Source organism: Homo sapiens, chromosome 6 (assembly GCF_000001405.40).
Source record: "Homo sapiens chromosome 6, GRCh38.p14 Primary Assembly".
Classification (NCBI taxonomy): Eukaryota; Metazoa; Chordata; class Mammalia; order Primates; family Hominidae; genus Homo; species Homo sapiens.
This window is the reverse complement of record NC_000006.12, coordinates 83,390,467-83,412,126: the sequence shown is the minus strand read 5'-3', so window position 1 is coordinate 83,412,126 and position 21,660 is coordinate 83,390,467. Positions and strand designations below refer to the sequence as shown.

Below are 21,660 nucleotides of genomic sequence, written 5' to 3'. Positions count from 1 at the left end.
AGTTTCTGATAAATTACTCAGGACAAAGTTTCTTTCTCAGTTATGCTTGCTCCCTGCAAATATCATTTCTAATATAAGTCCTTCGTCATGTCAGGAATTTTCTTTTCATTTCTGCTTGACAGTCTCAGTTTTGTCAAGAAGATATACATAGGTTAATTAGCACAGTCCAGAAGAATAGTTGCCCTGTTTGCTGCCCTTAGCAGTGAAACAACGTACCATTCTGCTGTCTAGGGATCTAGTCCAAAGGTTTTATAAGGAATAGGGAAAGCAAAGAAAAGACAAAAAAGGAGAAAAACCAGGATCAAACTTAGCATATATGAGGATGTCTTTAGAGAATTAGATGTACAGGTGGTCTGGAAACCTAATATATCTATATAGACGTCTGATATCTTCAACTACATGAAAGACTTGGTAGAAATCAAATGACAGTTAGAACCTGCATGTATAATTTGGGTTAATTATCCTTTGTTGGATAGGCCCTGCAGGATAATGCTAAGGTAAAAATTCTTTGAACTATTTTACTTCAAACTTTACACATAACTGACCTGTTTATAAATTTCTACAAAATATATCTCTAATGAATATGTCTCTGTTAGTATGAAAAATAGAAACTGTGGCTTTAAAGAAATAATACAATATCCATTTTAAATTTTTTCAGGGATTTTAAGATTTAAGTTTACTTATTTGTTGATGTTCTTTTAACTTGTAAAGGGTGGTAATAGAATGTAAACCCAGTCATGGGACTAGTTTTTTTTTTTTTCTTGAGACGGAGTCTTGCTCTGTCACCTAGGCTGGAGTGCAGTGGCGCAATCTCGGCTCACTGCAACCTCCGCCTCCCAGGTTCAAGCGATTCTTCTGCCTCAGCCTCCCAAGTAGCTGGGAGTACAGGTACATGCCACCACGCCCGGCTAACTTTTGTATTTTTAGTAGAGATGGGGTTTCACCATATTGGCCAGGCTGGTCTCAAACTCCCGCCTGCCCTGGCCTCCCAAAGTGCTGGGATTACAGGCGTGAGCCACCACGCCCGGCCCATAGGAGTATTTTTCTCCACAATCCTAGGATTTTAACTTGGCCCAGTTCCCTAGATTTCTAAGCCCTAGGTTTTGTTGCTGTTGTTTTTAAAAGGATTGAATTGGCACTTTAGTGTGTTTTGGAAAATTTGGCTAATGGTATATGGGAGTTTGTAGTTGCTAAACATCAAAGAATATAAAAAGATTTCCAGATGGCATTATCATTTACATGGCATAAGATATGGAGAATCGTTAGATTTAGGAATCAGTTTCAGAACATGCCATTGGAAAATTTATGTTAAAAGACTGGCTAACTATAACAATAAATGTTGTTAAGTGCCATTATTAAGGGAATGAAAGGGCATATGTTAGTACATCTCACAAGACTTATCAAAATATTGATATTTTGATTATTATGTTTTTGGGCAGATTTTCAAGGCATAACACTCAGAAGTTTACTGCTTCTTCACATATATTTATATATTTTTGAGACTTTAGCCAGCTTTCCTTTCCCCTTTTCATTTTCTAGTTAGATAAAAATCTATTGAGTTTTCTCTTCTTTCTTTTTCAAATATATTACTGTCCATAATTTTGTTTCATTCCAAGGAGTTATTTCATGACATTTTGGTTTAAATGTTGTCTTCCCAGTTATATCTTCAACAAGTGAAGTTTGTCTTCCATTTTATAAATTACTTTTTCATACAAATATCTCTTGTTGCTTTGAATTTTAAAAGTAATTTGATCAGAATGAATATGCTAATCAGGTTTTTGAGCAGCAATTTAATAGATTTTATAAATTTTAATATCTCTAAAATTGAATGTTTGAAAATTTCTATGAATTCTAAATTTTCTCATAATAAATTCTAATGAATTATAAATATTCTATTGACTATGTTAAAATTTTATTGCAACAAATTTCTGAGTTCTATTTATGTCAGGCACTGTTGTAAGCACTAGGGAGAAAGCAGTGAAGAAAACAAAATTCTGTGGCCCCGTGGAGTTTTCATTCTGTTGTGGGGGTGCAAACCAAAAGTAAAAAAGTAAATGGCAAGCAAAGACTTCAGGCGATACCACGGATGTCTCCTGGTGCCAGCTGGAACTGCTGGGTAAAGGACTGACAGATTGTACCATCTGCCATTTAGGTCCAGGAGAGGATGATTGGTCCAGACACAATTGAACATACTGGATTATCCTCTTGGAAAGAGACCATTCTGCTGCTGTCCACACAAATTGAACTTCAGAGGACGCCCAACTGTAACAATGGGGGCTTTTGCAGCTATGAGAATGGCTGCTAATGAAAAATATCTTGCAACTAGACACCAGCTGTGGTGATAGCACTTAGAGACCTTATGAGAATTGAAGGTTGTGCACTGCTTCTTGCGCTGAAGATTCTGAAACCATTGGTCCCAGCCCGCTCTTGCAGTTATCTCAGAGAGCTCTATCATGGCGTCATTCAGTGGACCAATTTGTCTCTCTTCAGTCTGGCCCTCAACCCAGGAGGCTAATTAAACACAAACCTTTCCATCAGTGACATGAATTAATGGGTATATCTATATGAAAAATTAGAAGAAAGAGAGGATTGTTCATTCATTGACCTCTTTCACAAACTTCCTGGGTTTGGACGTGTTTATTCCTAACCAATCAGGGTTTGTCACCTCCCTGTGGGATGAACCGAATTGTCTCTCCTTTCCCTCTAGTAATACACTTTATAAGTACTCAAGAGCCACTATTCTGTCATTGCAAGAAGCTTTCAGGGACAGAGGAATGATTGTAGAATCACTCAGTGCAAAGTTAATGAACACATTCTTACCTATCCAGGTTGATTAGAGATAGCAGTAGTGACAATGAGCAAAACTAACTATCTTAGTCCCTTCAGGCTGCCATAACGGAATACCATGTACTGGCTGGCTTATAAGCAAAATAAATTTATTTCTTACAGCTCTGGAGGCTGGGAAGTCCAACATCAAGGTACTGCAAATTTGGTGTTTGGTGAGGGGTCTGCTTCCTTATTTGTAGACAGTGGTCTTCTTGCTGTGTCCTCACATGGCAGAAGGGGTGAAAAGCTCTCTGAGGTACCTTTTATAAGGGTAATAATCCTATACATGAGGGGTCTGCTCTCATGACCTAATCACCTCCCAAAGGCCCTTCTTCCTATGCCATCGCCTTGGGGGTGAGGATTTCAATGTGAATTTTGGGGGACTCAAATGTTCAGACCATAACACCAACTATCATATCATATTGGTGTACTTATCCTGGACCCAGAGGAACAGCAGTCATAGTCTAGATAAAGAAGTCTCTTGGGCTTCAGTGTCTCCAATCAGATGCCTCTCCAGAGGGACTCCTTATCCCAATCTACCACATCATTTTCTTAATGACTACGGGAGCTGCTCTGATATTACTTTGTCTTGTATTAATGCCAGCAAATATCTTAGGTCCATTATGGTTTATGCATCAATGCATAATTTCTATTTAGTTTTCATGTTTTTGAGCTTCATAGCTTGTTATTATCATTTGTTTTATACAATCAATGTTCATGTAAACAGGTAACATAGGTATAATAATAGGGTTGTAATGGATATACTGAGGCTTTAGACAGGAGGAAGCATTTGAGGTAAGACATAAAGGGCAGAGAAACAGGGAAGAATATCTTGACCATGTGCCATGGAAGAATAAAAGGGTGTGGTATGTATGGACAATGGTGAGAAGTTTTGTATGCCTAGGAGTACATAAGAATCAAAGGCTACAACTTGGGAGAGGAATGTTGAAACAGGTAACTCAGAATCATATAAGGCATTTCCTGACCTATTTTAAAGGTGGAATCACAGCAGGTCACAGGTGACTTACTCACATTCATAATTTTAAAATCTCTTCTAATAATGACTTTTTATTTTTATATGTACTGACATTGATAATAATGATTATATCTTCTTTCATTTTTGTGTCTTTAAGTAGTTTCCTTCCATTCATCATCTGATTTTATCCTAATTATCTCTGAGTGGCACAGCTCTGAAATATTATAGTATTCTAATTTCTACAGATAGGGAAACTGAGATATGGAGAGCTTACATGGTTTACTCACAGCCACATGGCCATGCTTCCAGTGACGCAGACTTCGGATTTTTAATTGCATATACTTGTCAGATTTTATATGTATGCTTTTTGTCTATTTTCCTCTCAAATACTGTTGTGTGTGTGTGTGTGTTTTTTCTCTATAGGACTTGGCCTTTACCCTGGAAGAGAGACAGCAATTGAACATTCATGGATTGTTGCCACCTTCCTTCAACAGTCAGGAGATCCAGGTTCTTAGAGTAGTAAAAAATTTCGAGCATCTGAACTCTGACTTTGACAGGTAACACATTGCTGAAGGTGGTTTTTATATTTCTCTTATGCAGTTGTCTAGTTTATTTTTTATTGGGTGAGAAAATGAAAACATTTAATGATTTGGAAAGGGTAGCCAACTTTGAGAAGAATTTTCCTGTAAACACAATGATGTTTTTAAAAAATTTACTCTCTTTAGGAACATTTGAATGAAATAAAATTTTGCTTTCTAAACTGCGTGCTCAGACAGACCATGTTTATCATATGATACTGCAAAAGCAAATGATCAGGAAATGCCATCCTGAACAGAATAAAACAGGTTAGAGTGGCTTTTAGTCACACTTTAAGTATATTGTAGTTGAAAGCACACTTTTCTAGCCTCCAGTCTCTGTTCCAACACAGTTGCAAGTTTAGGTCACTTACTTTGGATAGTGTATTCAGTTTCTGTATTTGCACAAAGATAAATATAATATTTTTCCCTACCTTTGGGTTTAGATAACCTTAGATTGAAATTCAGGCTCTATCTCACTAGCAGTAGATCCTTGAGCAACCACTACAGGCCCTGCCATGGCGACTGTAACTGCTTTGCTGTCTGTTTTTGACTCCACTCTTTCTTACTAAGGTACTAAGCCTTTGTAGACCTTAGTTTTTTTCATCCATGGATTAGAGAGAACAACAGCTATTTGAAAAGATTGTTGTGAGGGTTAAAAGAGGTAGCCAACTCAATATCAAATAAGTGTTGGTGTTAATCAGGGTGTTACTCAGGGTTCTCCGAAGAAGCAGAGCTGATAGGATGTGTGTGTGTGTGTGTGTGTGTGTGTGTGTGTATGAATGAAAATATAAATATAAATGGATAGAGGGAGAAAGAAGGAGAGGGAGAAGGCTTGTTAAATCCAAAATCTTCAGGTAGGTTGTCAGGCTGAAGACTGAAGGAAGAGTTGCAGTTGAGTCCAAAGGCAGTGTGCTGGCAAAATTTATTTTTGCTAGACAGGAGGTCTGTCTGTGCTATTAAGGCCTTCAGCCATTTGGAGGAGGCCCACCCATATTTTGGAGGGTAATCTGATTTATTTAAGTCCACCAATTTAGATGTTAATCTCATCCAAAAACACCTGTGCAGAAACATCCAGAATAGTGTTTGACCAAATGTTGATACACCATGTTTGCTATGGATTGAATGTTTGTGTCCCCCTGCAAATTCGTACGTTGAAATCTAATCCCCAGTGTGATGTTATTTGGAGGTGAGGACTTTGGGTGATGATTAGGTCGTAAAAATGGCACCCTCATGAAATGGGATTAGTACTCTAAAAAGAAGAGGCCAGAGTACCAACGAAAAAAACCCAGGATCAGATGGATTCACAGCTGAATTCTACCAGAAATATAAAGAGGAGCTGGTACCATTCCTTCTGAAACTATTCCAAACAATCGAAAAGGAGGGACTCCTCCCTAACTCATTTTATGAAGCCAGCATCATCCTGATAGCAAAATTGGGAAGAGACACAACAAAAAAAGAAAACATCAGGCTAATATCCCTGATGAACATCGATGTGAAAATCCTCAATAAAATACTTGCAAACCGAATCCAGCAGCACATCAAAAAACTTATCCACCGCAATCAAGTTGGCTTCATCCCTGGGATGCAAGGCTGGTTCGACATATGCAAATCAATAAACGTAATCCATCACATAAAAAGAACCAATGACAAAACTCACATGATTATTTCAATAGATGCAGAAAAGGCCTTTGACAAAATTAAACATCGCTTCATGTTAAAAACTCTTGGCCGGGTGCGGTGGCTCACGCCTGTAATCCCAGCACTTTGGGAGGCCGAGGTGGGCGGATCACGAGTTCAGGAGATCGAGACCATCCCGGCTAAAACGGTGAAACCCCGTCTCTACTAAAAATACAAAAAATTAGCCGGGCATAGTGGCGGGCGCCTGTAGTCCCAGCTACTTGGGAGGCTGAGGCAGGAGAATGGCGTGAACCCGGGAGGCGGAGCTTGCAGTGAGCCGAGATCCCGCCACTGCACTCCAGCCTGGGCGACAGAGCGAGACTCCGTCTCAAAAAAAAAAAAAAAAACAACAACAACAACAAAAAAAACTCTCAATAAACTAGGTACTGATGGGACATATCTCAAAATAGTAAGAGCTGTTTATGACAAACCCACAGCCAATATCATACTGAGTGGGCGAAAGCTGGAAGCACTCCCTTTGAAAACCGGTACAAGACAAGGATGCCCTCTCTCACTACTCCTATTCAGCATGGTATTGGAAGTTCTGGCTAGGTCAATCAGGCAAGAGAAAGAAATAAAGCATATTCAAATAGGAAGAGAGGAAGTCAAATAGTCTGTTTGCAGATGACATGATTTTATATTTAGAAAACCCCATCCTCTCATCCCCAAAACTCCTTGAACTGATAAGCAACTTCAGCAAAGTCTCAGGATATCAAATCAATGTGCAAAAGTCACAAGTATTCCTTCACACCAAAGATAGACAAGCAGAGAGCCAAATCATGAATGAACTCGCATTCACAATTGCTACAAAGAGAATAAAATACCCGGGAATACAACTAACAAGGGATGTGAAGGACCTCTTCAAGGAGAACTACAAACCATTGCTCAAGGAAATAAGAGAGGACACAAACAAATGGAAGAACATTTCATGCTCATGGATAGGAAGAATCAATATTGTGAAAATGGCCATACTGCCCAAAGTAATTTATAATTCAATGTTATACCCATCAAGCTACCATTGACTTTTTTCACAGAATTAGAAAAAACTACTTTAAATTTCATATGGAACCAAAGAAGAGCCTGCATAGCCAAGAAAATTGTAAGCAAAAAGAACAAAGCTGGAAGCATCATGCTACCTGACTTCAAACTATACTACAAGGCAACAGTAAGCAAAACAACATGGTACTGGTACCAAAACAGGTATATAGACCAATGGAACAGAACAGAGGCCTCAGAAATAACACCACACATCTACAACCATCTGATCTTTGATAAACCTGACAAAAACAAGCAATGGAGAAAGGATTCCCTATTTAATATATGGTGTTGGGAAAACTGGCTAGTCATATGCAGAAAACTGAAACTGGACCCCTTCCTTACAGCTTATACAAAAATTAACTCAAGATGGATTAACGATTTAAACGTAAGACCTAAAACCATAAAAACCCTGGAAGAAAACCTAGGCAATACATTCAGGACATAGGCATGGGCAAAGACTTCATGACTAAAACACCAAAAGCAGTGGCAACAAAAGCCAAAATTCACAAATGGGATCTAATTGAACCAAAGAGCTTAGAGCTTCTGCACAGCAAAAGAAACTATCATCGGAGTGAACAGGCACCCTATAGAATTGGAGAAAATTTTTGCAATCTGTCAATCTGACAAAAGGCTAATATCCAGAATCTACAAAGAACTTAAACAAATTTACAAGAAAAAAACAACTCCATCAAAAAGTGGGCAAAGGATATGAACGGACACTTCTCAAAAGAAGACATTTATGCGGCCAAAAATCATGAAAAAAAACTCATCATCACTGGTCATTAGAGAAATGCAAATCAAAACCGCAATGAAATACCATCTGACACCACTTAGAATGGCGATCATTAAAAAAATCAGGAAACAACAGATGCTGGTGAGGCTGTAGAGAAATAGGAATGCTTTTACATTGTTGGTGGGAGTGTAAATTAGTTCAACCATTGTGGAAGACAGTGTGGCGATTCCTCAAGGATCTAGAACCAGAAACACCATTTGACCCCACAATACCATTACTGGTTATATACCCAAAGAATTATAGATCATTCTACTATAAAGACACATGCACACGTATGTTTACTGCGGCACTATTCACAATAGCAAAGACATGGAACCAACCCAAATGCCCATCAATGATAGACTGACTGGATGAAGGAAATGTGGCACATATACACCATAGAATGCTATGCAGCCATTAAAAAGAATGAGTTAATGTCCTTTGCAGGGACATCGATAAGCTGGAAACCATCATCCTCAGCAAACTGACATAGGAACAGAAAACTAAACACCACATGTTCTCACTCATAAGTGGGAATTGAACAATGAGAACACATGGACACGGGGAGGGGAACATCACACACCAGGGCCTGTCGTGGGGTGGAGGAAAGGAGAGGGAGAGCATTCGGATAAATACCTAATGCATGCAGGGCTTAAAACCTAGATGACAGTCTATAGGTGCAGCAAACCACCATGGCACATGTATACCTATGTAACAAACCTCACATTCTGCACATGTATCCCAGAACTTAAAGTAAAATAAAAAATAAAAAAATAAAAGAGGCCTAAGAAAGCTGCCTTTCCCTTTCCCTCATGTGAGGATGCAGCGAGAATGTGCTGTCTATGTGGAATGTGTCCTTATCAGGCTCAGAATCTGCTGGCAGCTTGACCTTGAACTTCCTGGCCTACAAAACTATGAGAAATCAATTTCTGTTGTTCATAAGCTACCTAGTCTATGGTATTTTTGTCATAGCAAACTGAATGGACTATGACACCACCCATATGAATCTCCTCAAATCATACTTAATCTTTGAATAAAGGCAATAACAAGATCCATACTTCCACCTAACACAATAAACTATCTTGCATACAACCAAAAATGCACCAACCCTATCCTCAAAAGAAGATGCCAAATCCTTGGGTGATGTTTACTCTCGTCGATATTCCTTAACTTAAACACTATGATGTAATGTTAGCAGTACTTAAATACTATGATGCAGAGTCAGTATATCTTATGTTATCAGATAAGGTGATAAGAGAAGGAAGAAAATGATATTTTCTGAAATTTGCATATGGATTGTTGCTTTTATATGTATACACACATATTAATAGCAAAACAAGGAAGAAATACTTATGGCAATTACAGTCTTCTTTTTCTTTAATTGATCACATGGTCATAGCTGGTGTTTATAACTACCTTTTTCCATGACCCAATCCATATCCCCTTTGCCCTCAGCAAGTATCTCAGCTGATTGTGGTTCTTTACCTGGTGAGGGTGACTCAAACCTTCAATCCTCAATGGTCTGGGCCACTAGTAATCCTGCTTGAATTGGATTGTTGTTTTCATTAGCTTTAATCACAGGGCATGGTAATACTAAGAGCTACCCTAAGGGGTCTCCTGTATTTCAGACATACTCTTTCCCGCCTCCACTGTAGTGTAACAGTTTAGTTTCCTCTTGGTAGTCAGGATCAATTTTTCCCAGTCAGCACAGTAACTCCTTTCTTGGCCTGTTAATTCAGAGGCATGTGGTGCTCAAAGTGGTCAGGTGGCAGTCTTAATTTCCTGTTCAATGGGTTTATTATTGTGTTTCTTGATGGAAACATTCTTCCGTTTGGAATGAAGACCTCTAGACCAGCAGAGCATAAAGTCACAGGGGTAGAAAGGAGAAATTTTGCTAGTGTGACACTAGGGTTGTTAGTGAGAGGTGCCATTTCCATTTCCACCCCTTGATTCCTAGACCTATGAATCCTGGCTATGAGAAAAACAGCACCATTTTTTTGGACACTGATTGAGAGCACATACAGCCTCCTGGAGAACCTTGCCTCAGCTTTGCAAGGTATTGGCACTTTGCTGGTAACTGAGTCTTCAAAAGTACATTCCACTGTTCTGTCAAGCCAGTTGCTTCAGATTGTTGGGAAACATTGTAAAACTAGTGAGTTTCATGAGCATGTGCTCATTCCCCACACTTCGTTTGCTCTAAAGTGAGTTCCTTGATCAGAAGCAATGCTGTGTGGAATACCATGAGGGTAGGTAAGGCATTTTGTAAGTCCATGAATAGTAGCTTTGGCAGGAGCATTGCATGCAGGGAAAGCATATCTAGATCCAAACTAAGGGTCTATGCCAGAAAAAAAAGTTGTCCTTCCCATAATGGAAGCTGTTGAGTGTAATGAACTTGCCACCAGGTAGCTAGCTGGCTAATTACCCTGGAGAATGGTGCCACATCAGGGAATCAGTGTTAGTCTCTGCTGCAGATTGAACACTCAGAAGTGGCTATAATAGCCAGGTTGGCCTTGGTGAGTGAAAGTCCATATTGCTGAGCCTATGCATAACCTCTATCCCTGCCACCATGGCCACTTTGTTCATGAGCCCAGTGGATGTGATGGGGTGGCTGGGCAAAAAGGCTGACTCAGTTTGTCCGACGTGTATACAGTTGCTTCTTTTTAAACTCCTTCGCAACCTTCTCTTTCATTTGTTCCATAACATCTTCCTTTAGCTGCTTGTGTCCTTACTTTATATTCTTTTCCTGGGCCATTTTATCAGCTACCTGCTAAGAGCTGGTGACCTTCATATATTTGCTACAGACTGTTCCTCGATATATATTGAACATCAATTCAGTGTCAGGTACTCTTTTAGATATTGGGGTTATAGACAATGATCTCTGACCTCATGAAATTTACATAAATTATTAAAAATTATTATTATTTTGAGAAAGGGTCTCACTCTATTGCCCAGGCTGCAGTGCACTGACGTGACCATAGCTCACTGTAGTCTCAACATCCTGGGCTCAAACAGTTCTCCTGCCTCACCCTTCCAAGTAGCTAGGACTACAGGCATGCTCCACCATGCCTGGCTTATTTTTAAATACAAATTATTAAATTTTGTAAATAGTAATACAAATTGGTAAATTATAAAATATGCTAGAAAATGGCTAGTGTCTTGGGATGGGGGAAATAAAGGTAGAGCAGGGTAAAGAGGAGCTGAGAATGCTGAGGGGAGTTATGGCCAGTTTGCATTGTTGAGTTGGGTGATAAGGGTAATCTCCATTGAGAAGGTGAGTTTTGAGCAAATAATCAAAGGTGGTGGAGCAGTTAGCCATGAAGAAATCTGAGGAACAGCGTTTTGTAGCTGGCATGTTCAAGAATCAGCAGGGAGACTTGTGTCTAGAGCAGAATGAGTTAGGGAAAGAATGGTAAATTGGGAAAGGAAGTTAGCGAGGTAATGGGCGGTTGATTAGGTATGGCTTTGTAGCCTATTAAAGACTTCTGCTATACTATGAATGGAAAGGGTAGCCTCTTGAGGTTTTTGACCAGAAGAGCCACATGATCTAAGCTATAATTTCAGAAAGACTGGCTGCAATGTTGAGAATAGAATGTAGGCTGGGATGGCTTTTAGGAGACCATTAGAATAATCCAGTCAAGAGATGATGGTGATTTAGATCTAGGGTGGTAGCAATAAAGGTGGTCAGATTTTGGATATATTTTGAAAGTAAAGCCAACACAATTTATTCATGTATTTCACATGAGTGTTAGAAAGCTTTCAGAGAAGAGGAGTATGTTAGTCTGTTCTTGCATTGCTATAAAGAAATACCTGAGGCTGGGTAATTTATAAAGAAAGGAGATTTAAATGGCTCATGGTTCAGCAGGTTGTACAAACATGGCACCAATTATCTGCTGCCTTGGTGAGGGCCTCAGGAAGCTTACAATCATGGTGGAAACAGGAGCAAGATAGGAAGGAAGTGCCAACCAAATCTCACATCAACTCAGAGCAAGAACTCATCACAAAGGGATTGGTGCTAAGCCATTCATGAGGGATCCACCCCCATGATCCAAATACCCACCAGGACCCAACTCCAGCACTGGGGATTACATTTCAACATGAGATTTGGAAGGGACAAACACCCAAACCATATCAAGGAGAAAACAGCAAGGAAACAGAAAAGGAATGACCAGAGAGATAGGAGGAAAACCATGAGAATATGATAGATTGGAAGTCAATGAAAGAAAGTGTATTGAGCCCTGAGGAATATCTCCTGTGTCAAATATTCTGATAGGTAAGATGAGGTCTGAGAATGGACCATTGATTTAGCAATGCTAATTTCCACATTGCCAAATTAATTTTATCATGTCTAAAGTTAAACTCTTTGTCTTCCACATGTTTATTTTCTGGGTTATGTCTATCTAATTGCCCAAACATTGGAATCCATGCATCTCTTACTCAGAATTCTGTGCATTTTCAACTATTCTAGGGAATGAAAATCAATTCAAAATGGCTGGTAAGATTGTTGAGTAGTTTTGCAAGATTCTTTTAAGTTGAACTGAGCAGTTTACGTTTTATTCTATAAACTATTGAAGGTTACAGATATCATGAAGAGGTTTATATTTACAAAGATAACTCTGGGTCAGAAATGCTTCTAGAAAGAAAAAGGCCATAAGATACAGATACAAAGAAAAGTTTCTTGAACTTCCCTACCTTAGTTATTTTTAGGATGAGTGTTACATTCTCTTACTTATTTCCTGTATGTCATTTCCCTTGGTTATTCAATACTGCAAGTCAAAGGATGAAATCTTTCTATTAACTTAGTTAATACTAAATCTATAGTTATATTTTCATCTCTTTTAAAATAGGGATAAAGTCTCTTCAAGTATTAAATAAAACTGTGCTATTTCAGCAGTGATTTTAATGTTTGCATGATATTAGTTAAGTTTATGGTTCTTTATTCTTTGCAATATTTAAGAGTATTTCTTGTCTGGGTGCGGTGGCTCATGCCTGTAATCCCAGCACTTTGGGAGGCCAAGGCAGGCAGAGCACTTGAGGTCAGGAGTTCAAGACCAGCCTGGCCAACATGGTGAAACTGTCTCTACTAAAAATACAAAAAAAATTAGCCGGGCTTGTTGGTGCACGCCTGTAGTCCCAGCTACTTGGGAGGCTGAGGCAGGAGAAAACGCTTGAACCCAGGAGACAGAGGTTGCAGTGAGCCAAGATCATGCCACTGCACTCCAGCCTGGGCGACAGAGCGAGACTCTGTCTCAAAATAAATAAATAAATAAATAAAATAAAAAATAAGCCGGGTGTGGTGGCATGCCCTCGTAATCCTAGCTACTCAGGAGATGGGGTTTCACCATGTTGGCCAGGCTGGTCTTGAACTCCTGACCTCGTGATCCACCCGCCTCTGCCTCCCAAAGTGCTGGGATTACAGGCGTGAGCCACCATGCCCGGCCACTTTTGTATTTTTAGTAGAGACGGAGTTTCACCATGTTGGCCAGGCTGGTCTTGAACTCCTGATCTTGTGATCCGCCCACCTCAGCCTCCCAAGGTGCTGGGATTACAGGCATGAACCACTGTGCCCGGCCAAGACTCTGTCGTAAAGAAAAAGAAAAGAATATTTCTTAAGTCTTTTTTAATCAGATGTTTTCTATGTAACCTAAATGTACTTTATACTTGGTTGAAAATATTTAATTAGATTTCTAAGTAGCTATTTCATGACTTTATGGGATGTAGATCTAATTATGTCCAATTTTTACAGGTATCTTCTCTTAATGGATCTCCAAGATAGAAATGAAAAACTCTTTTATAGAGTGCTGACATCTGACATTGAGAAATTCATGCCTATTGTTTATACTCCCACTGTGGGTCTGGCTTGCCAACAATATAGTTTGGTGTTTCGGAAGCCAAGGTATGTCAACTTTTATTTTATATGCAACTTGTGTCTTTATTTATTTTTGTAAGTTTTTTAACGAATTTAAAATTTATTATTATTATTTTAAATTTGACAATAAAATTGCATATATTTATGATGTACAGAGGATGTTCTGAAACATGTATACATTGTGAAATGGTAGAATCAAGCTAATTAGCATATGCATTATTTCACATTCATATCATTTATTTGTGGTGAGTATGCTAAAATCTACTTTTAGCAGTTTTCACGTATATAATAAATTATCCTTAGCAATAGTCACTATGTGGTACAATAGATGTCTTGAACTCATTCCTCCTGTTTAACTGAAATTTTGTATCCTTTTAACCAGCATTTCCCTAATCCCGCAACCCGCTCCCCCTACCTTTCTCCTATCCTCTGGTAACTACCGTTCTTCTCTTTGCTACTATGAGTTTGACTATTTTTAGGTTCCACATGTAAGATCATGTGGTATTTGTCTTTCTGTGTCTGGCTTATTTCACTTAACGTAATATCCTAAAGGTTCATCTGTATTGTTGCAAATGACAGAATTTCTTTCTTCTTTAAGGCTGAGTGGTATCCTAGTGTGTATGTGTACCACATTTTCTTTATCCATTCATCTGTTAATGGACTCTTACCTTGATCCCATATCTTGGCCATTGTGAATAATGCTGTAGTGAACATGGGAGTGAGTGCAGATATCTCCTAGACATACTGATTTCATTTCCTTTGGATATGTACCCAGTAGTGTTATTACTAGATCATTTGGTAGTTCTATTCTTAATTTTTTGAGAAGCTTCCATACTGTTTTCCATAATAGATTTACTAGTTTACATTCCCACTGAACAGTGAATAAGAGTTTCCTTTCCTCAGGTTCCTCGCCAATACTTATTGTTCATCTTTTTGGTATAGCCGTTCTAACAAGTGTGAGGTGATATCTCACTGTGCTTTTAATTTCGATTTCTGTGATGATTAGTGATGTTGAGCAATTTTTCATAAACCTGTAGGTCATTTATATGTCCTCTTTTGAGAACTGTGTATTCTGGTATTTTGCTCATTTTAAGAACAGGTTATTTGTTTTCTTGTTACTGAGTTATTTGAGTTCCTTATATATTTTGAATTAATCCCTTATGAGATGTATGGTTCACAGATATTCTCTCCTATTCCATAGGTTGTCTCTTCACTCTGTTGACTGACTGCTGTGCTGAGCTTTTTAGTTTATTATAATTCCATTTGTCTATTTTTGCTTTTGCCTATGCCACTGGGGTCATATCTAAAAACATCATTGCCCAAACTACTATCATGAGGCTTTTCCCCTAAATTTTCTTGTAGAAGTTTTATAGTTTCAAGTCTTACATTTTTCTTTACCTATTGAGTTGATTTTTTTTAATATGGTGTGAAATAAGGGTCTAATTTCATTCTTCTGGCATTTGGAAAACCAGTTTTCCCGTCACCATTTAATGAAGAGACTGTTCTTTCTCCATTTCACTTTTGTAAAAAATCAGTTGACTGCAAATGCATGGATTTATTTCTGGGCTGTCTATTCTGTTTCATTCTGGGCTGTCTATTCTCTTTCTTTGGTCTCTGTGTTTGTTTTTATACTGGTACCATGCCGTTGTGATTACCATAACTTAACAGTATATTTTGAAATCAGGTAGTATGATACCTCTAGCTTTGTTCTTTTTGCCTAAGATTGCTTTGGACATTTGGGGCCTTTTGTGGTTCATATGAATTTTTTAATCTTTATTTTTATATTTCTGTGAAAAAATGTCATTGGAACTCTGATAGGGATTGTACTGAATCTGTAGATCTCTTTGGGTAGTGTGGTCATTTTAACAATATTAATTCTTCCAATCCATGAAATGGAACATCTTTCCATTTATTTGTGTCTTAAATTTTTTTCATCAATGTTTTGTAGTTTTCCACATACAGATATTTCACCTCTTTGGTTAAATTTATTCCTAAGTATTTTGTTGTTTTGGTGGCTATCATTATTATTATTATTGTTTTGAGACAATCTTACTTTGTCTGGAGTGTAGTGGCATGATCTTGGCACACTGCAACCTTTGCCTCCTGGGTTCAAGTGATTCTCATGGCTCAGCCTCCTGAGTAGCTGGGATTACAGGTGCGCACCACCATACCTGGCTAATTTTTGTATTTTTGGTAGAGATGGGGTTTCACCACATTGGCTAGGCTGGTCTCAAACTGTTGGCCTCATGTGATCCACCCGCCTCAGCCTCCCAAAATGCCTCCCAAAGTACAGGCATGAGCCACCACACCCACCCTTTGTAGCTATTATTAATGGGATTGCTTTTTTGATATTTTTGGATAGTTTATAGTTAGTGTATTAGAAACACTGCTGACTTTTATATGTTGATTTTGTATCATGGAACTTTCCTGAATTTATTAGTTGTAACAGTTTTTTGTTGGAGTTTATAGGGTTTTCTATGTATATGATGATATTGTCTGCAAACAGAGACCATTTAACTTCTTCCTTTCTAATATGGATGCCTTTTTTTTTTTCTTTTGCTTGCCTAATTGTTTTGGCTAGGACTTCCAGTCTCTAGATTTCTCTCTAGATTTAAGATTTGGCCAGGCACAGTGGCTCATACCTGTAATCCCAGCACTTTGGGAGGCTGAGGCGGGCAGATCACGAGGTCAAGAGGTTGAGACCATCCTGACCAACATGGTGAAACCCCATCTCTACTAAAAATACAAAAATTAGCTGGGCATGGTGGCATGTGCCTGTAGTCCCAGCTACTCAGGAGGCTGAGGAAGGAGAATCGCTTGAATCTGGGAAGTGGAGGTTGCAGTGAGCCGAGATCACGCCACTGCACTCTAGCCTGGTAACAGAGCGAGACTCTGTCTCAAAAAAAAAAAAAAGAAAAGATTTAAGATAATAGAAAGTATTTCCAAATCAATTTGGGTTCCCTTTTACAGATAGCAAATTAATTTCCTTTTTGTTTTGAAAGAGATTGGCTGGGCATGGTAGCTCACACCTGTAATTCCAGGACTTTGGGAGGCTGAGGCAGGCAGATCACCTGAGGTCAGGAGTACGAGACCAGCCTGGCCAACATGGTGAAACCCTATCTCTACTAAAAATACAAAAATTGCTGAGCGTGGTGGTAGTTGCCTGTAATCCCAGCTACTAGGGAGGCTGAGGTAGGAGAATTGCTGGAATCCAGGAGGCAGAAGCTTCAGTGAGCTGAGATTGCTACTGCACTCCAGCCTGGGTGACAGAGTGAGACTCCATCTCAAAAAAAAAAACCAAAAAAACAAAAAAGTAATACTGATCATAATTAAGCTTGCCTTTGATATGTTAATTACCACTATTACATGTATATTTTTACAAGTTAAAACAAAGATTCCAAATTTTTCTGAAATGAGAATATTACTTTCTAAATTGAGTCAAAATTAAATGATCTTAAAGTAGCTCTTTTGTTCTTTCCCTTAAATGAAATAGTAGTCACCTTTGAGATGCATAAAATATAGAACACAATTTTTCTAGCACTACTTATTCATTATATTAGTTTCAATACTTTTTGAAAGAAGAAACAATCGAAATAAATACATATTAATACTTTTAACAACAGCAATAACAAAAGTTCAAGTTGCATATGTCTTTCTACTTTTGGCTCTGAATTTAAAGATAAAAAAGAAATGTTTAAAGTATCTACCACAAACACAAAAGCCTACTGAAAGTACTGTCCTTAAAAGGAATATTTCAGAGGTATTATCGGAAAGCAATATTGAATGTGGATTTCCATGTAGCTGTATTGATATAGTGGTAATATTTATCATACTGCGCTGCATTACCCTTTGTATAAAGAAAAGAGTTGGCCGCATCATCCCTTTGTATAAAGAGAATAATTAGATAAGTAACTATAGTTGATCTAAACTACATTAAAATTTTTTTATTGATACATATTAGATATACATATTTTGGGGATATGTGTGATAATTTAATACATTCATATAATTTGTAAAGATCAAATCAGTGTAATTGAGATATCTATCACCTTAAATATTTATCTTTTCTTTATGCTAGAAACATTCGGATTATCTTCTTCTAGCTGTTCTGAAATATACAATAGGTCTTATTTGTTCCATCAAACTTCATACTAAACTACATTAATAGCACATATCCATGTTACATTTATGTAATAGTTACATTAACAATGACTAAATTTTTTTTCATTGAAGAAAAGGAGTTAGAATTTACTGTTAATTGTATTGCAAAGTAATTGTTTTCTGGGTATATAAGAATATTATTTTAACTATACAAATAATTATATATTCATTATTGAAAAAATAATAAATATTCAGAAGGAAGAAACTTAAAAATGCCTAATGTCATCGTACCAAAAAACGCCAACAGACACAATACATACTATTTTCCTTGTAGATGAAGGAATCATACTACATAAACTATTTCTTGCCTTACTAAAGGCAAGAAACCTACAGTATTTTCCTTATAGATGAAGGGTCATACTGTATGAACTATTTCTTGCCTTACTGTCTTCTCTGGGTAATGTATTATAAACATCTGTGCATGTCCAAAAAATATATTTCTATATAAAGAATCTTAATACAAGCATAATAAAAAGCTGTTTTAAATTCAAGGATGTTTATTGAAATTTTGTTTCTGAGAGATACTAAGTACTAACAATGATAAATGTAGAAGGGCTTGAATCAAACGAAGTATTTGAGTTGAAGTCGATAGAAATCTCAATAGCAACAAGTTTTTTTTTTTTTGGCAAGCACAGGGGATTTTATTGATGGTACATGAAAAGGTGGGGCTCCCTCGGCTCCTCCCTTTTAGGGGGTCTGCATGGAAACTATGAGGAGGGGAGATTCTCAGTGTGGTGGGAGACTGAGTGTGGCAGGGACTCTCCAGCAGTGAGGGCCGCTCTCTTCCCGTCGTGCTGTCGCTGGGGCTGGTGGTCTGGGGGTCTTACTCCTTGGAAGCCACACTGTGGGCAGAGGTCCACCACCCTGTTGCTGCAGCCAAATTCATTGTCATACCAGGAAATGAGCTTGACAAAGTGGTCGTTGAGGGCAATGCCAGCCCCAGCATCGAAGGTGGAAGAGTGGGTGTCTGTTGAAGTTGGAGGAGACCACCTGGTGCTCAGAGTAGCCCAGGATGCCTTTGAGGGGGTCCTCTGACGCCTGCTTCACCACCTTCTTGGTGTCATCATATTTGGTAGGTTTTTCCAGACGGCAGGTCAGGTCCACCACTGACATGTTGGCAGTGGGGACACGGAAGGCCATGCCAGTGAGCTTCCCGTTTAGCTCAGGGATGACCTTCCTCACAGCCTTGGCAGCACCAGTAGAGGCAGAGAGGATGTTCTGGAGAGCCCCATGGCCGTCACCCCACAGTTTCCCATAGGAGCCATCCATAGTCTTCTGGGTGGCAGCGATGGTCATGAGTCCTTCCACGGTACCAAAGTTGTCATGGATGACCTTGGCCAGGGGCGTTAAGCAGCTGGTGGTGCAGGAGGCATTGCTGATAATCTTGAGCTGTTGTCATATTTCTCATGGTTCACACCCATCACGAACATGGGGGCATCAGCAGAGGGTGCAGAGATGATGACCGTTTTGGCTCCTCCCTCCAAGTGAGCCCCAGCCTTCTCCATGGTGGTGAAGATGCTGGTGAACTCCATGATGTACTCAGTGCCAGCATTGCCCCATTTGATTTTGGTGAGATCTTGCCCCTGGAAAATAGTGATGAGATTTCCATTGATAACAAGCTTCCCGTTCTCAGCCTTGACGGTGCCGTGGAATTTGCCATGGGCGGAATTATACTGGAACATGTAGACAGTGTTGTTGAGGTCAATGAAGGGGTCATTGATGGCGACAATATCGACTTAACCAGAGTTTAAAGCAGCCCTGGTGACCAGGCAGCCAATACAACCAAATCTGTTGACTCCAGCCTTCACCTTCACCATGGTGTCTCAGGGATGCAGCTGGCAATGCACGAGAAGATGCAGCTGTTGTTCTCAGCCTTGACGGTGCCATGGAATTTGCCATGGGCAGAATTATACTGGAACATGTAGACAGTGTTGTTGAGGTCAATGAAGGGGTCATTGATGGCGACAATATCGACTTAACCAGAGTTTAAAGCAGCCCTGGTGACCAGGCAGCCAATACAACCAAATCTGTTGACTCCAGCCTTCACCTTCACCATGGTGTCTCAGGGATGCAGCTGGCAATGCACGAGAAGATGCAGCTGTCTGTTGAATGGGAGGAGCAGAGAGCTGCAACAATTATTTTTTGAGAGCTTTTACTATATTAGATGGTTTTCTCAGGCTTAGGACACTTTGGTGTGCATATATTCCAAAAGAAGAAGAGACAAACATATAAAATAAATAAATTGTCTAGAATGTTTGAAGGTGATAAGTGTTATGGAGAAAGAGAACAGGAAAAGGGGGATCAGGAGTGTCAGTTGCTTTGCAGGAGGCAGTTGTAATTTTAAACAGAGTGGACACTGTGGGTCTCATTGGAAGATGATATTGGAGGAGTTGGGGAGGAAGTCATGTAGATATGAGTGGAAACATGCCAGACAGAAGGAACAGCCAATGCCAAGGCCCTCAGTGGGAACATGCCTGGAGACCAGAAGCAGGATGGAGACCACTGTGTCTGGAGTGGAGTGAGAGAGAGGGAGAGTAGGGGATGAGTTCACAGAGGTGGGTCAATGAGTGGGTATATGTCTTAGGGCTTCCTGTAGGCTGTTTGGAAGAACATTGGCTTTTACTCTTAGCTAAATGAAAAGCCCTAAATGGTCTTACGCAGTTACATGACATGATCTAGTATTTTTAAAAAGAGCATTCTGGTTGCTGTGTTGAGAATAGACTAAAGCAAAAGAAGAATCAGGGACCCTTGTTAGGAGACTATTAAAATAAACCCAGTGAGAGATGATAGTGGTTCAGATTAGGAGGGTAATAATGGAGTTAGGGGTAAGTTTTAAAATCCAGATTCTGGATAAAAATGAAGACAGCCACAAAGACCTTCTGCTGGACTGAAAGCTTCCTAGAGTAGTGATTGAAAGTATGGGCTCTGGAGTAGGTAGCCTATTTTTACTTACTGGTTTTGCCACTTGTTGTAGTCTGGTATAAGGTATTTAACTTTTCTGTGCTTCGGTTTCCTCATCTGTAAATTGGGAGTAATACTACAGCCTGCCGCATCTTATCCATACTTTTGAATTCCAAAACTTTGAAAATCAAGACTGTAAAAAAATCTCATTTGGGACAAAACCTGATCTTATCTGAAATCATTGGCAGCAGTACCAAAGACTATATATAGTCTTATAAGTCCAGCAGTAAACTGGATTTATAAGACTATAATAGTCTATTTATTTCACTTACTGTCATTTGTTTTTCTGTAGAAGTACTAATGTATTTGATTATGGGAACTTTCTTAGAAATAAATATGTTTACATATATATAAACTTATATAAGTATGTGTTTTTATGTATGTATATATGTATATATATAGAGAGAGATGGGTGGCTGGGGAGGGGGAGAGGAAGAAATGGGGAAGAGGGTAGAGGTAGGAAAGCATTTGTGGCAAAATGCTTACAAATGTTGAATCTAGGTGGAGGTATTTGTTGTATTATTCTTTCAACTTTTCTGTAATATTTGAAATTTAAGTAAGGAATGCTTTACTGCTAGAGAAAGCAAAGTTTCTAAATCCATTTCTGTATGATCTCTTCATGACAGTTTTCTGTCATATTGCAATTTAGTGTGTATATTTTCTTGAACTTTTGATGATTTTGAAGTTTTCCAGTAAAATAATTATGGCTTCTCCTATAATTATAAAAAAATCCTGTTTGAAATTGTGTTATGTGGCTTAAATTTAGGTGTTGTATTTAATTAGAAAGGGAATTGTGGATGCGTGA

At 38.8% G+C, this 21,660-nt stretch overlaps 1 protein-coding gene across 1 annotated transcript in view; it reads left to right on the top strand.

The window, feature by feature from the left end:
* ME1 (malic enzyme 1) overlaps positions 1–21,660 on the top strand; it is a 220,650-nt gene that overhangs the window by 18,925 nt on the left and 180,065 nt on the right. The window contains exons 2-3 of the mRNA NM_002395.6: positions 4,226–4,359; positions 13,611–13,760. Of these exons, the coding sequence (NP_002386.1) occupies positions 4,226–4,359; positions 13,611–13,760 (284 nt within the window). The remainder of the gene's footprint in view (positions 1–4,225; positions 4,360–13,610; positions 13,761–21,660) is intronic.